The 13,174-nt window shown below is 43.6% G+C and overlaps 1 protein-coding gene across 5 annotated transcripts in view; it reads right to left on the bottom strand.

Moving 5' to 3' along the window:
* IL1R1 (interleukin 1 receptor type 1) overlaps positions 1-13,174 on the bottom strand; it is a 109,485-nt gene that overhangs the window by 63,832 nt on the left and 32,479 nt on the right. For 2 of the 5 annotated variants that reach the window (NM_001320980.2, NM_001320986.2), the window contains exon 1: positions 11,171-11,439. The exons of the other annotated variants lie outside the window; for them this stretch is intronic. The gene's annotated coding sequence lies outside the window, so the exon portion shown is untranslated. Of the gene's footprint in view, positions 1-11,170; positions 11,440-13,174 lie in introns of those variants that run through there. 5 annotated transcript variants of the gene reach the window in all.

Here is a 13,174-nt window from a genome sequence, read left to right as displayed (position 1 = left end):
CTTCTAAATAATCCAGATTCGCCATATAAATACTGCTGAGCAAGCTCCTATTTGCCGTTTGCTGCAAGGTTGGATGTCAAAACCTGCCATGCAAGGCTCCACTGCCTCCCAAACAAAGCCCAGACCACTCAGTATAGCATTCCAGATGCTCCTCAGTCTCCCTTGATCCTACCTTTTGGAATGTGTTCCTCTCCTCGCCCTTGATGTACCCATGTTTACTATGTGCCCATTTCCTTGCAAGTTTCCCTAATGTCTACCTCTTTTCTTGCTCGTGCAGTTTCCTCTACCCAGAATACAACCCTTCTTTCTCCTCCAGCTCAAGTCTTCTTCTTCCGCCTTCTCCCCCCTCCAAGGCCTATCCCAAATACTGCACCACTTCTTTAGGGTTTTCCCATCCCTCCGACCAGGAGAAACAGGCAACTATCTCTCCCTGCTCTGAAACCTTGAGGTTTTTCATCTCCCCCTCTCTGATGGCACTTTGCAGCCCCTACTTTGCATTGCTTGAGTTCTCTCCCCTGCTGTTCAGTTAATAAGCTTAAAAGTAGGCTGAGATTGAGTATAACTTGAACAGAGCAGATGTTTAAATATTTGCCAAATAAATGAAAGTGGCTACGTTTACACAACTTATATCCACAGTGCCTTAAAAAACTGAAAGCACACTTACTAGGTAGAGAGCCCTTGATAACTTCCAGTAACAAAGTTTTCTGAGGAAATGGTCCTAAATTTCCCCACCAGGCAGGATTTGGCAATCACTATGGACAGGCTTGGTCTAACCAGCTTCTTGTTTACTTGGGTAATTTACTGACTCGGCAACTGTCTACTTCTCGGGTCAGTGGTTCTCAACCCACATTACACTAACTGCACAGTATGATCACCTGAGGACTTTAAAAAGCCAGGCTGCATGCATTCCCATCACATCAGAACTTCTGGAGTTAGGATCCAGGCATCAGTGTTTAAAAGGCTCCCAGGTGATTCCAATATGCAGCCAGGGTTGACAACTACTGGCCTAGATGACAAAGAGTAATTCCATTCAGGAGACATTTCCCCTATTTGTATGTCACCGAGGCAGCAGCAATGTCCATTTTCAGCACTGACGTGGCAGACTGGGGCCCAGCCAAGAAAGGGAACTCAACTCCAGGGGCTTACATTCACACACACTGGGTTTCCCTAGAACAACAATTTACAATCAGGACATCAGTTCCAGACTAAAGTAAAGGTCTGCCTCTACTTCCAATCCAAAGCATTTTTTACCTTCCTATGAGCCTAGGTTCTATAGATATATGTCATATTTCCTTACCAACTTAAAATAAATTTCAACTGGAGAAAAAAAGAAGCTTAGAGTTCTGATCTTGCGGTTACATAAATCCCAGAGTTTGAGGTTGATGATAAAGATTCAAGCACAGTGAGTGATACCGAGTGTAATTTCCCACATTATCACAATAGCAAAAATGTAACCTCCCCTTCTCCCTGTGAGTCAGCCCAGAAACCCACTACGTTAATCTCGAGAAATGCTTAAACCTTGAGGGAAACTTATTCAAAGAGGTTGTCATGGCAGGTTCACATGAGACTTTTTAAATCAATTAAGTTCCAGTACACATTCCTTCACTGTTGACAATAATCACATATTTTCCCTACAGGAAAGAACCCCTGTGAACCTTCGCATGTGGTTTTACAGATTCTTTAGCAGACAGCTGATACTATTTGTGAAACCAGGTTTCCCCATGCATTCCACGCAGTGTGTTTAACCTTTCCAGAGAAACATCTACCAAGTCCCTACTTTACTTGAATTTGTACTTTATTATGATATGCATTTCATTTGTATTGATTTGGGCTTCAATATTACATACTGATCATTTCAGTAATCATATCTCTTTTAAAAACTAGTTTATGGGTACCATGCACCAATTTGGATAACTCTTAGAAGTGGCAGAAGAGAGCCTGAATGGCATGCTTGATATGAATGGACTCAAAAACCAGTGCCCAAATATGACTGCCTGAAGGACATGTGAGAAAGAGCTCTTCCATAAACTAGTGTTTCCCTTCCTCATGTTCCTTACTATTTTGGCATAATGATGTGTACAGAGCTGAGAGAATCCAACAGACCCATGTTCAAATTCTGACTCTGTTATCGATCTGCCGCGACTTGAAGAAACTCACCTGCTATTTTTAAGCCTCAGTTTCCTTAGAGACAAATCAAAAATCATAAAGCCTGTGTAAGGAACAGAGGCAATGTGAAAAGCTCCCAGACATCATGGGGAGGAGATGGATGGCTGCTGATCCTGGCCGGTTCTAGAATAGCAGATGAGGTGGGTACCCAGGCTCCAGGGCAAGGAGGCCGAGCGTCATTGGTGCAGCCTCCGAGACTGGCTGCTAATCAGCCTAGAGCGGGGCAAGCAAGATCAAGGAGACAGCAAATAAAATCGCAAGTAATGAAAAGTCCCAAAAAATTGTTCCAGGATTTCCAGTCAAGTTCTACCCTCTCACTAACTCCAGGAATAGAATGAGGGAAGCCACATCAATATTCAGGGGGCACAATCATGGCTTTGGAATGCTTTGGTTTTGTGACCCATGTTGGAATATGTTATTGGTATACATGACTGAGCAGCTCTGGTCACCAAAAGCAACACCGCCTCCCTCAGACAAGAAGAGACTCATGGTTAAGACGTTCAGCACTTTCGGAGAAAAGATGGATAACTTACAAGTACATTCACCGCTAATAATTTCTCACCAAAGGATAAAAGAAGGCAAATTTCCACAAAAGACACAAATGTGCTTTGAGCCTATTCTATAGCAATGGCTCATTCACTTGTTCATTAGTTCAGGAAATAGACCTGAAACTTACTAAAATCCTTACTGAAAGTCTTTAAAGATAGTTATACCATTGTCACAGGCTGATTGAACGCAGTGTCTTAGCCTGGGCTGCTGTAACAAATTATCATAGATTGGGTGGCTTAAACAACAAATATTTGTGTCTCACAGTTCTGGAGGCTGGAAGTGTAAGATCACGGTTCTGACAGATCCGGTGTCTGGTGAGGGCCCACTTTCTGGTTTGCAGACAGCTGACTTCTCATTGTATCCTCACATGGTAGAAAGAGAGCTAGCTAGTTCTCTGGCCTCTTCTTACAGGGGCACTAATCCCATTTATCAGGGCTCCACCCTCATGACCTAACAATCTCCCAAGCATGCCACCTCCTAACACCATCACTGGAATTAGGGTTTCAACATAGGAATTTAGTGGTGGGCTTGGGGGACACACAGACATTCAATCTATGTACACAGACAAAGGAAAACCCAACGCCTAAAAAAAACTATTAAAGTATTTATTTCCATTACACTTAACACAGACACATTTCAAGTTTTATGACTACATTTCTAGACTTTTCTATGGTAAACACACCTTTTGCTTCCTCTTTTACCTGGCATTAGGCCTTGACAACCCCCATCCCATGTTACACCTGATTGGGGCAATTCTGTGTTGAGTACCTGGAATTCACCAGGAGTCCCTTCTCAGAAGCAAGCCCTGCCCTCCTTTCCCTGGACTGGGAGGTGAAGCTCACTGAAGGGGGTGAGCTGACTTTGCAGTCTTCCTACTTCCTGCCCAGATGTTCCTGTGTCCATGGAAACCTGATCCATTAGTATCACCTCAGGGCCAGCAATTCCTGAGACCTCCCCCAAACACCTCCCACAACACACACACTCACACTCACACACACACACACACACACACACACGTTAATCCCCACTCTGTGCTGGCCATAAATGACCACTTAGGACAGTTTTGCCGCCGAAATAGGCCTGAGTGTCTGATCAACAATATTTTGTCTCGGTCTCCTGTGTTTCTTCACACAATGGAAGCACCTCTGGGCTTAGAGCCACCAAGACCCTAAGACTGGTAGAGAGCCCACCCCTTCTCCAGAGCCCTGAAAACACTACAGACTCATAAACAAAGCAGCCTCATCATCATGGAACCAGGGTGGCCAGCATGAAAGACGATGCATAATAGAGACACTCTCCTCAATGCCTTCCCCAGGTGGTTGGGCTTCAGGAATTTTGTTCTATTCTGAGCACAGAGAGCCATGGCCTCAGATTTCAGGGGTGGGAGGAAAAGTTCCAGTTCTGCCCTTTGCCCACTCAGAAGCCCTGAGGAAAGCTCTCAGTTGGTCACCTCTATCTTTCTAAAGTTAGAAAGATAACCCTACTTACACCTGGAGAAAAGGATGTCAGAGAAGCCCTACTTGCAGCTGTCTCCTGAGACCCCATCCCTGAAGGACTCCCTGGCACCAAGCAGGCCCCTGGGGCAGAGTTACCCGTGTTCTGGTCCAGAACCTAGAGGTGGCCGGGTCCTCTTCACTGTCCCCTTCCTGCTCTCCTTCTCATTGTTGACATTTGATTCTATCTCGCAGATGGACTGTAAGCTGCTCTGAATTTTCTTCATCTTTCTATTTCCCCTTCCACTCCTTCTTCCTCTCATCATCCCCAGCACCTAGCACAGGGCTTAGCACAGGTTGGACATGCAATAATAATCTGTCAAAATTATCAGTCAGTTTATTAATGCATGAGATAATGAATGAGAAAGCCCTTTGTAAACTGAGTTGTACTCCAGAGAGACGTAGAACGTATTTTTGTAAAATGTCTCCACTTGTCTCACACGGAGGACAAGGTTGGCCAAGAGATACAGTGTTCTGGTCGCCAGCCCTATGTGCAGCAGCGGCCCCACTGTGATCTCTTGTGGCAAATACAACACAGTCTGACAGGTGCTTGTGTATAGAACCATGCCTCCCTGGTGTTATTCAGGTGAGAATTTACATCTACAAGGTAAGAGTTTACAGACCTTGGCACCATCTTCCCCAGCCCATGACTACAGTCAACCTGAAACTCACAATAAAAGCCAAACTCCTTGCCACAGCCCTAAACACCCACCATGCTCTGGCCTCTGCCTCTGTCTCCAGCTCACCTTGGCCTCCCTTCCACTCTCTTCATTGGCCATACATAGAGCTGCTTTCTGCTTCTCATGCTGGGTTTTTATGCTCTGCTTCCTCTGCCCTCTGTCTGGCTGGCTCCTTCTCATGCCTCAGACTTCATCACTCCACCTCGAGCCGTCCCAATCACCAGGCTAACACGGACCGTGGCTCCCTACTCGCTGTCTCTGCAGCCTTCTGTCTCTGTGTTTCTTTCACAGTGCTCAGCACACATGTGCCAACTCCCGCGGCTGCCTAGCTGTTTCATGCAACCCTGGCAGGGTCCACGCATCCCTGTGCCATCCCATGACTGGACACACAGCAAGGCCTCAAAACACAATCACCAAATGAAAAACGTTGTGATCGCAAATGGTTTTAAGCCAATTGAATAGATGCCCAACCTGAGTCAACAAAGTACCTGTCAGACTGTTGTATTTGCCACGAGAGACCACAGTGGGGCTGACACTGCATGGTCATGATACGAGATAGGAAAATTTAGAAAACTTACTAAGTTTGCAGCTTTCTCCTTTGAGACTGCCGAAGTCTAATAAAAACCAGCTTGTTAGCAGGCACTGTTGACGAGCACATGGAGAGGCATTCTTTCAAACATTCCTGGTAGGGGTGTTAATTGGTATGACCTGGTGGGGTGGGGGGGTGGGTAATTCTGAAATATATATCAAAATCACAAGTGTACACAGCCTCTGACCCCACAATTCTGCTTCCAGGAATTTAACCAACAACTTGGAAACACTTCTGCAAAATTACGAGGGCAGGCTGCCACTGGTCGCAACATTGCCTGAAATAACAAAACATTGCAAACAATCCAACTGTCCATTAAGAGGCAGAAAATGCACCGCCTTTGATACAGCTATGGATCAAGGTATAGAATGGTGCACACTATGAGTGCAAAAGAGGTGGAAGAAAAAACTAGAAACTATTAACAAGACTCGCCTATTGGTGAGGAAGAGGGAAAGAAGCGTCTGCAGAAAGGGAAGAGAAAAAGACTTTCACCTTTTAAATTGTGTTACCACTCCAAAAGCAAATAAACCATGTGTCATTCACTCAAAAAAATTTAAAGAGTTTCAAAATCATATGGAAAAGTTTAACCAAAAAAAGTAAAATTCCATTTTAAATTATAGTCTTTTCCCTCATGTTATAACTGGAAACACTAAACAAAGAAAAGGGAGATAAGTCGCCCAGGAGAAACGAAGCCGCCCTTGGCCCCCAAGCTAGCACTCACCATACTCCATCTCATTCGCTGGAGTTCCTTGGTGCAGATTTGGGGGGTCAATAGAGAGGAAATATAAGGAAATATCTCTCAATATTTTAAACGCCCATCGAGTCTAGGTTGGTGTGATAAATTGGATGGTCCTGCCAGGGAGGATCTGGTCTGAAAAATCAAATCCATTTCACATTGGCCCATGTGGGTTCAGAGAAGCTGAGGCTGAGCCCTGCCTGATCCCCAAGTTGAGGGGTTGTTGTGGCTGAGTTTTCCAGGTTCAACACCTCCAAATGCAGTAGAACTGGACTCTTGGCACCTTTGGATGGAAGAACCAAATACATCAGCACTCAGTTGTCCAGGCCAGTGTGGCACATGGACTCAGAAGGCAGACAGACTTGGTGCAGGCTGATGGATCTCTCCTCACTAGCCTGCAGCTTTGGGAAACTTACTGAACTTCTCAGGGTCTCAGCTTGTCTGGACCTAGAGTTGGAATAATGTTTCAAGGTTGCGAGAAAGATTCAAGATATTATACTTAAAGAACCCAGAAGAGTGCATGTTCCTTTAGTAGGTGACTCAATAAATGGTAGTCATATACCCAAATAAACAGCACAAACATCACCAGTGGCCTAAAACCATGAGACATTGTCTCCAAAGTTCAGTCCGACCTACCCTCACTGACCCACAGGCTCCAGAGTGAGCCTGTCTGCGTCATAATTCCAGCTCTGCAATAACTACTGGTATAACCCTAGCAAATCACTCTCTGTGCTTCCGTTTCTTAATCTGCAAAATAAAATAATAGTACTGATTATTTTATATGAGCGGTACCTAAAACCAGGTCTCCTACCTAGCAAGTGCTGTATTACATATTAGCTTTTATTATTATTATTATTATTATTATTATTATTATTATTATTATTCAGTACCAAGTTCAAACCATTACTAAATGTCAGTTTGGTCCTGATTTTTGCAGCCCAGCACTGAGCTGGGAGTCAGAGTGAAAATCGATGCCTCCTTAAAGTTTTTGATATTCATGCCAAATCCATGACACTTGCACCTATAAAGACAGGGTTCTCCATTTTCCTGGTCCTATCCTTGGCTTGCATTCATTTGTTTAATATCCTTTCAGAGCTTTAAATATTTACTCAATAGAAACTGAGACTCACCCAAACTAAACGAAATAAATAACCAGTTGCCCCTAGAAAAGCTCCATTTAGGTTTTTTTTTAATCTTCTGGGGTGCCTTTTTGGAATATTCTTTTCTCCACAGAACTGGGTAAATATTTTTCTACCTCCCTTACATTGACTCATTTGAGAAACATTGATTGATCCGCCCTCTGGGTGTCAGACCCCAAAGCAGGCCCTGGAGAGAGGTATACACATGAAACCGGACCCCGTCTTTGAGGAGCTCTCAGTCCACTGGGGAGCTGAGCAAAGCCCATGGATGATGAGAATGCAATAGGAGGAGGATGGCTGGTTTTCCTGTACAAGAATGGAATAAATAAGCAACAAAATGGAAATCTTTTTAATCTAAAATGTATCCATGCACTGCTGTAACACACTAAACACTGCTACTGAATCTAAGAACCAAGAAGCATAGAAATATGTTATACACACCCCCCCCCACACACACACACATACATACACACACACACACACTTCCCAAGTTTAGAATTAGAAGACGACAAAATTTCAGCATGCAGCTCTCCAGAAACTATATATTTTAGAAGGTTAGATTTATCACTAAACTTTAGAGTAACAACAATAATAATAATACCATTTTGCATTTTTGCTTTTCCTCTATTCAAAAAGCTTGCCTCTATCTTGCCTCTTTATATTCCCAGTACAATCTTGTGAGGTGGCTAGCACAGGCCTTCTGTCTAAATTTTATAGCTAAAAAGGAGACAAAATCACAAAGACTGAGGTTTACCCCAGGTTACTCAATCGGTAAAAATTCAGAGCAAAAGCATCCAGTTCTCTCGCTCTCTCAGCAGACTTTCTGAGAGACATCAAAAGAGGTCAAAGTCCTCAGAAATTAGGTTGGCAGAAGTTACTGTAAGAGGTGACTGCTTTGGCAATGAGTAACCAAAAAAGACGAGAGGCTGAACCCAAAGGGGCAGAACTGGAAACCAGCAGATTTTGCAAAGGGTTTCCTTAAGGTAAATTAAGACAACAAAATATACCTTTGCCTATTATCAGAGTAGCACACTTTTCTTTTATTTATTGTGATACTTTAAGTTCTAGGGTACATGTGCACAACATGCAGGTTTGTTACATATGTATACATGTGCCATGTTGGTGTGCTGCACCTGTTAACTTGTCATTTACATTAGGTATGTCTCCTAATGTTATCCCTCCCCCCTCCTCCCACCCCACAACAGGCCCCGGTGTGTGATGTTCCCCACCCTGTGTCCAAGTGTTCTCATTGTTCAATTCCCACCTACGAGTGAGAATATGCGGCGTTTGGTTTTCTGTCCTTGTGATAGTTTGCTCAGGATGATGGTTTCCAGCTTCATCCATGTCCCTACAAAGGACATGAACTCATCCTTTTTCATGGCTGCATAGTATTCCATGGTGTATATGTGCCACATTTTCTTAATCCAGTCTATCACTGATGGACATTTGGGTTGGTTCCAAGTCTTTGCTATTGTGAATAGTGCCACAATAAACATACGTGTGCATGCAGAGTAGCACACTTTTCAAAAAATTATAAAACCCAATGCTGATGAGAGAGTTGGAAAATGTTCATACAGTGCTGGTGGGCACATAAATTAATTAAACTTTCCTAGGATTAATTTAGCAGCAGGGATCTAGAGTTTTTAAAATGCCCATGCCCTTTGACCCCTACCATTCTACCTCTGGGGATTTATCTCAAGGAAAACTCGTTGAGATAACCTTTGCATCAAGGAGATGCAAAGGTTTAGCTACAAGGGTGTTAGTTGTAGTACTGTTAATAAGAGAAGAACATAGTTGTAGTACTGTTAATAAGAGAAAAACAATCAACTACCTGCCAACAGGATTTAATAAACTATCTATGCAATGAAATGGAAAAGCTTTTGTAAAAGAAAACTCATTCTCATAACAAGATGCTCCATCGCTGTGAGGTAAAAGCAGATAACCGAAAAGCATGTAGAGTACAAATATATTTCTTCAAAATGTAAATGTACTCAGAGACAAATACACCTACCAAAATGTTAACAGTGTTTACCTCACAGTGGTGTGTTTTTACTTCTCGTCTTTTACTATTATCTCTATGTATTTTTTAAAATTTTATTCTTGACAATGAGCTTGTGCTGTTTGTGTAAATGTTCCAAGGACGTATTTTAGAAGTATACCCTCGCTATTCTTTGACCGTTCCTGCCAAGTTTTCCTCCTAAGTAAACTAACAGTCTTGTGCTCAACGGGGTTTGTCAGTTCAATGATTAACAATAGCATGTAGTGTTAGGAAAGGCCATAAGAATCTTTTTAAACTCATCACTACCATTAGGCAGATCAAATTCATCTCAAGAAGTTTTCTTGGCTCTTTCTGGACAACTTTGTCTTCTTCCTTTTCCTAACAGATCAACACATTTATAGTAAACACCAATCTCTGGCATCAAATGCACACACACACAGACACACACACACAGAGACACACACGTCACTGTTCTCCAGCTGTCTCATGGGTGAATGCCATGACTCACCAAACCAGTTGGTCCTTAGCTGTATTTTTTGAAGCATCCTTCCCCACCATCCACTCCTCACACCCTCACCAACACAGCGAAAAATTCACATTTTGCATGAGCAATAAGGAGTTATAAATTGAATTGAATGATAAGCTTCATTAGGTTTTCCTTTTTGTTTTGTTATTTTCTTTCCTTAATCTTTCAGGTTCAGTCCCATTTTCTCATTCTTATGCACAACAACACTATCAGTAGGAATTATGAGGATCAAGGATAAATGGAGATCAAGGATAAATTATGGAGATCAAGGATAAAAATGCAAGGCAATGTTTATAATCCCCTCTGAGAGTGCATGGTCTTCTCTATAGCTATAGGTGCAACATTGGCAAAGCTTCTGAAGGGGGGAGAAAAATATGATCAGGCTTTTAAGATTACCTTTGAGGTCCTTATTGAAGAAAGCGTGTACAAGTTTTGCCAATACAATGCATTATACCTTTAAATGAAACCAATAGAGGCTGCCATTAATAACATAGCACATTCAGGCCAGGCGTGGTGGCTCATGCCTGTAATCCCAGCACTTTGGGAGGCCCAGGCAGGTGGATCACGAGGTCAGGAGATCGAGACCATCCTGGCTAACACAGTGAAAACCCATCTCTACTAAAAATACAAAAAGTTAGCAGGGCATGGTGGCAGGCGCCTATAGTCCCAGCTACTCGGGAGGCTGAGGCAGGAGAATCGCTTGAACCTGGGAGGCGGAGGTTGCAGTGAGCCAAGATCATGCCATTGTACTCCAGTCTGGGTGACAAAGTGAGACCCCATCTCAAACAAAATAAAAAATAAATTAAAAAGAAAACATAGCACCTTCAGTCAACATTGGGTTATGCCTCTCTAACACTGTAGAAGCTTAATGGGAAGTGATAAAATAAGTCTCAATTCTTACAGTAACAACAGTCTTATAAAACGACTTCATTTACAACACCTTTCACTTAACATCTCTCACCACATACCAAAAGTCATGTAACTATTCATGGTTTATAAGTAATATACAGTTATAAAGTATATTTCCCATATGTTTCATAGTTAATCTTCCATAGATAATCACAGTCGTTCTCCTAATATGACTCAGAAACACATCTTAAAGTGAAACATGCCTACAGAGCCATATAACTTCAAGAAATCCTTAAAATGTTGTTTCGACAAACAATATAACGTTACCTTTTATCAGATTCCATTTGTCTTTCCTAAATACCTCATTAATGTGTAAGTAAACCCAAAAAAAGGAGGGAAAAAAATACAGAAACAAAAAACCTGCAGTGCAATTAATCATCTTACCGTCTCCGTTCTTCATCCTTGGGGCATTTGGGAATGGCTGGCCTCCCAGGAGGTGGAGAATGTCGGGGTAATCCGACAAGGTTTCTTTTCCCAAATGAAGCCTGCTGAGCTGATGTTGGTTATTAAAAAACGAAAGTGCTTTTTGAAGTCAGCCCTAGCTAGAGTTGTTAATTCAGGTCTGTGCCGCAGCAGAGTGACAACTCACATCTTGCCGGACGCCCCAGCTGGTACGGAGGCTCAAAGGAAGGAGAAAGTGGGGTTTTGGAGATGGCTGTGTCACAGCCTCTTAGGGCTTTAATCCCTCGGCCGTGACACATCTGGGGAACTATGAACAGGAAGCTCAGAGCCAGGCAGACAGCCAGAATCACTCAGCAAACGTGCCAGACCCTTAAGAAACACCAACACCCGCCACTGCACGGTAACCTCTAAAGTTTCCCGAAGCTGGTGCTTTCCTCTCATGACTTTGTGTTGAACCTGGACAAGCCTGCTGGCTGAATCCAGCTCATTATCATGTTCCCATCATCAGAGTCTTGACTGGTCAGTCTCAGGCCTGTGGTGGCCTAAGCTTTCCCTCTCTGCCTACCTCCCAATCCTTAGAGCAATCTCCCTAGAGTCAGCCCAGGCAATGCTGCAGGACTCTTTATTCAGGTCTGCTCGTGTCCCAGATGCTGGCCCACTTCTCATGGTGGCCACCACTCCTGCCATGTGCCCTGAGAACTCTGGAAGTCTCCCTTCACCACACCCTGGAGGTGGGATGGCCACTGATCACCCCTCAGCTCAGGGAGATGAAAGCTGGAGCCTCTGGCTTCCACAAATGCAGCCAGATCCACCTAGGAGAGCTGGTGCTGCCAAGCCTCCTCTTTTTTTTTTTTTTTTTTTTTTCTGAGACAGTCTTGCTCTGTCTCCCAGGCTGGAGTGCAATGTCACAATCTCGGCTCACAGCAACCCCTGCTTCCCAGGTTCAAGTGATTCTCGTGCCTCAGCCCGAGTAGCTGGGATTATAGATGCCCGCCACCATGTCTGGCTAATTTTTGTAATTTTAGTAGAGATGGGGTTTCACCATGATGGTCAGGCTGGTCTCAAACTCCTGAACTCAGATGATCCACCCCCTTGGCCTCCCAAAGTGCTGGGGTTACAGGCATGAGCCACCGCACCTGGCCTGCCTCTTTTATTTCTCTCATAGCTCCTCCTGTGCTCTGCACTCCGATGAACATTCTCAACATGATACAGAGTCCAGCCTATCACAACGCTACTCAAAAATCTGCATCGTAGGGAGGAAGAGTCAAGCCTCCAATTCTAGCATTCAAGGTCTTCAGACATCTGGTCTCACACACTTTCCTGTCATTGTTCCCGCTACCCTTTCCAAGAGCGCTTTGTGCTCACCTGGATGGGCCGCCTGCTGACCCTAAGAGGCACTGCTCAAACCTCTGCTTCAATGCTCTGCAGCCTCAATTCTGCCACTGCCACTCCTTACCCTAGCCAATTGACACCACTCAGCACGACACAGCCCACCTCCTCTTTGCTCCTTCCCCTTCTTTCCAGTTTTCACCGCCATTTGCTCAAGCAGACCCCACTCAAGCATCCTGGGGTGATTTTCCCGACTCTGAACCTGTGCCTTCTCTCTGTGATGATAACGGAGATAGCAGAAGTGAGCACTTACAGGTGCCAGGCATTCTTCAAGGAAATTTAAATTATATATTCATTTACTTATTTATTTTTAATTTTATTTTAGTTTCAGGGGTACTTGTGCAGGTCTGTTATATAGGCAAATTGTGTATTCAGGCGGCTTGGTCTACAGATTTTTTTGTAACCTAGGTAATAAGTATGGTACCCTATAGGTAGTTTCAATCCTCACCCTCCTCCCACACTCCATCCTCAAGTAGGTCCTGGTGTCTGTTTTTCCTTTCTTTGTGTCCGTATGAACTCAGTGTTTAATTCTCACTTATAAGTGAGACCATGCAGTATTTGATTTTCTGTTTCTGTGTTAGTTCTCAGAAGAATGGC

This window comes from Homo sapiens, chromosome 2, assembly GCF_000001405.40.
Source record: "Homo sapiens chromosome 2, GRCh38.p14 Primary Assembly".
NCBI lineage: Eukaryota > Metazoa > Chordata > Mammalia > Primates > Hominidae > Homo > Homo sapiens.
The sequence above is the reverse complement of the archived record's forward strand: the minus strand, read 5'-3'. Positions and strand labels throughout refer to the sequence as shown.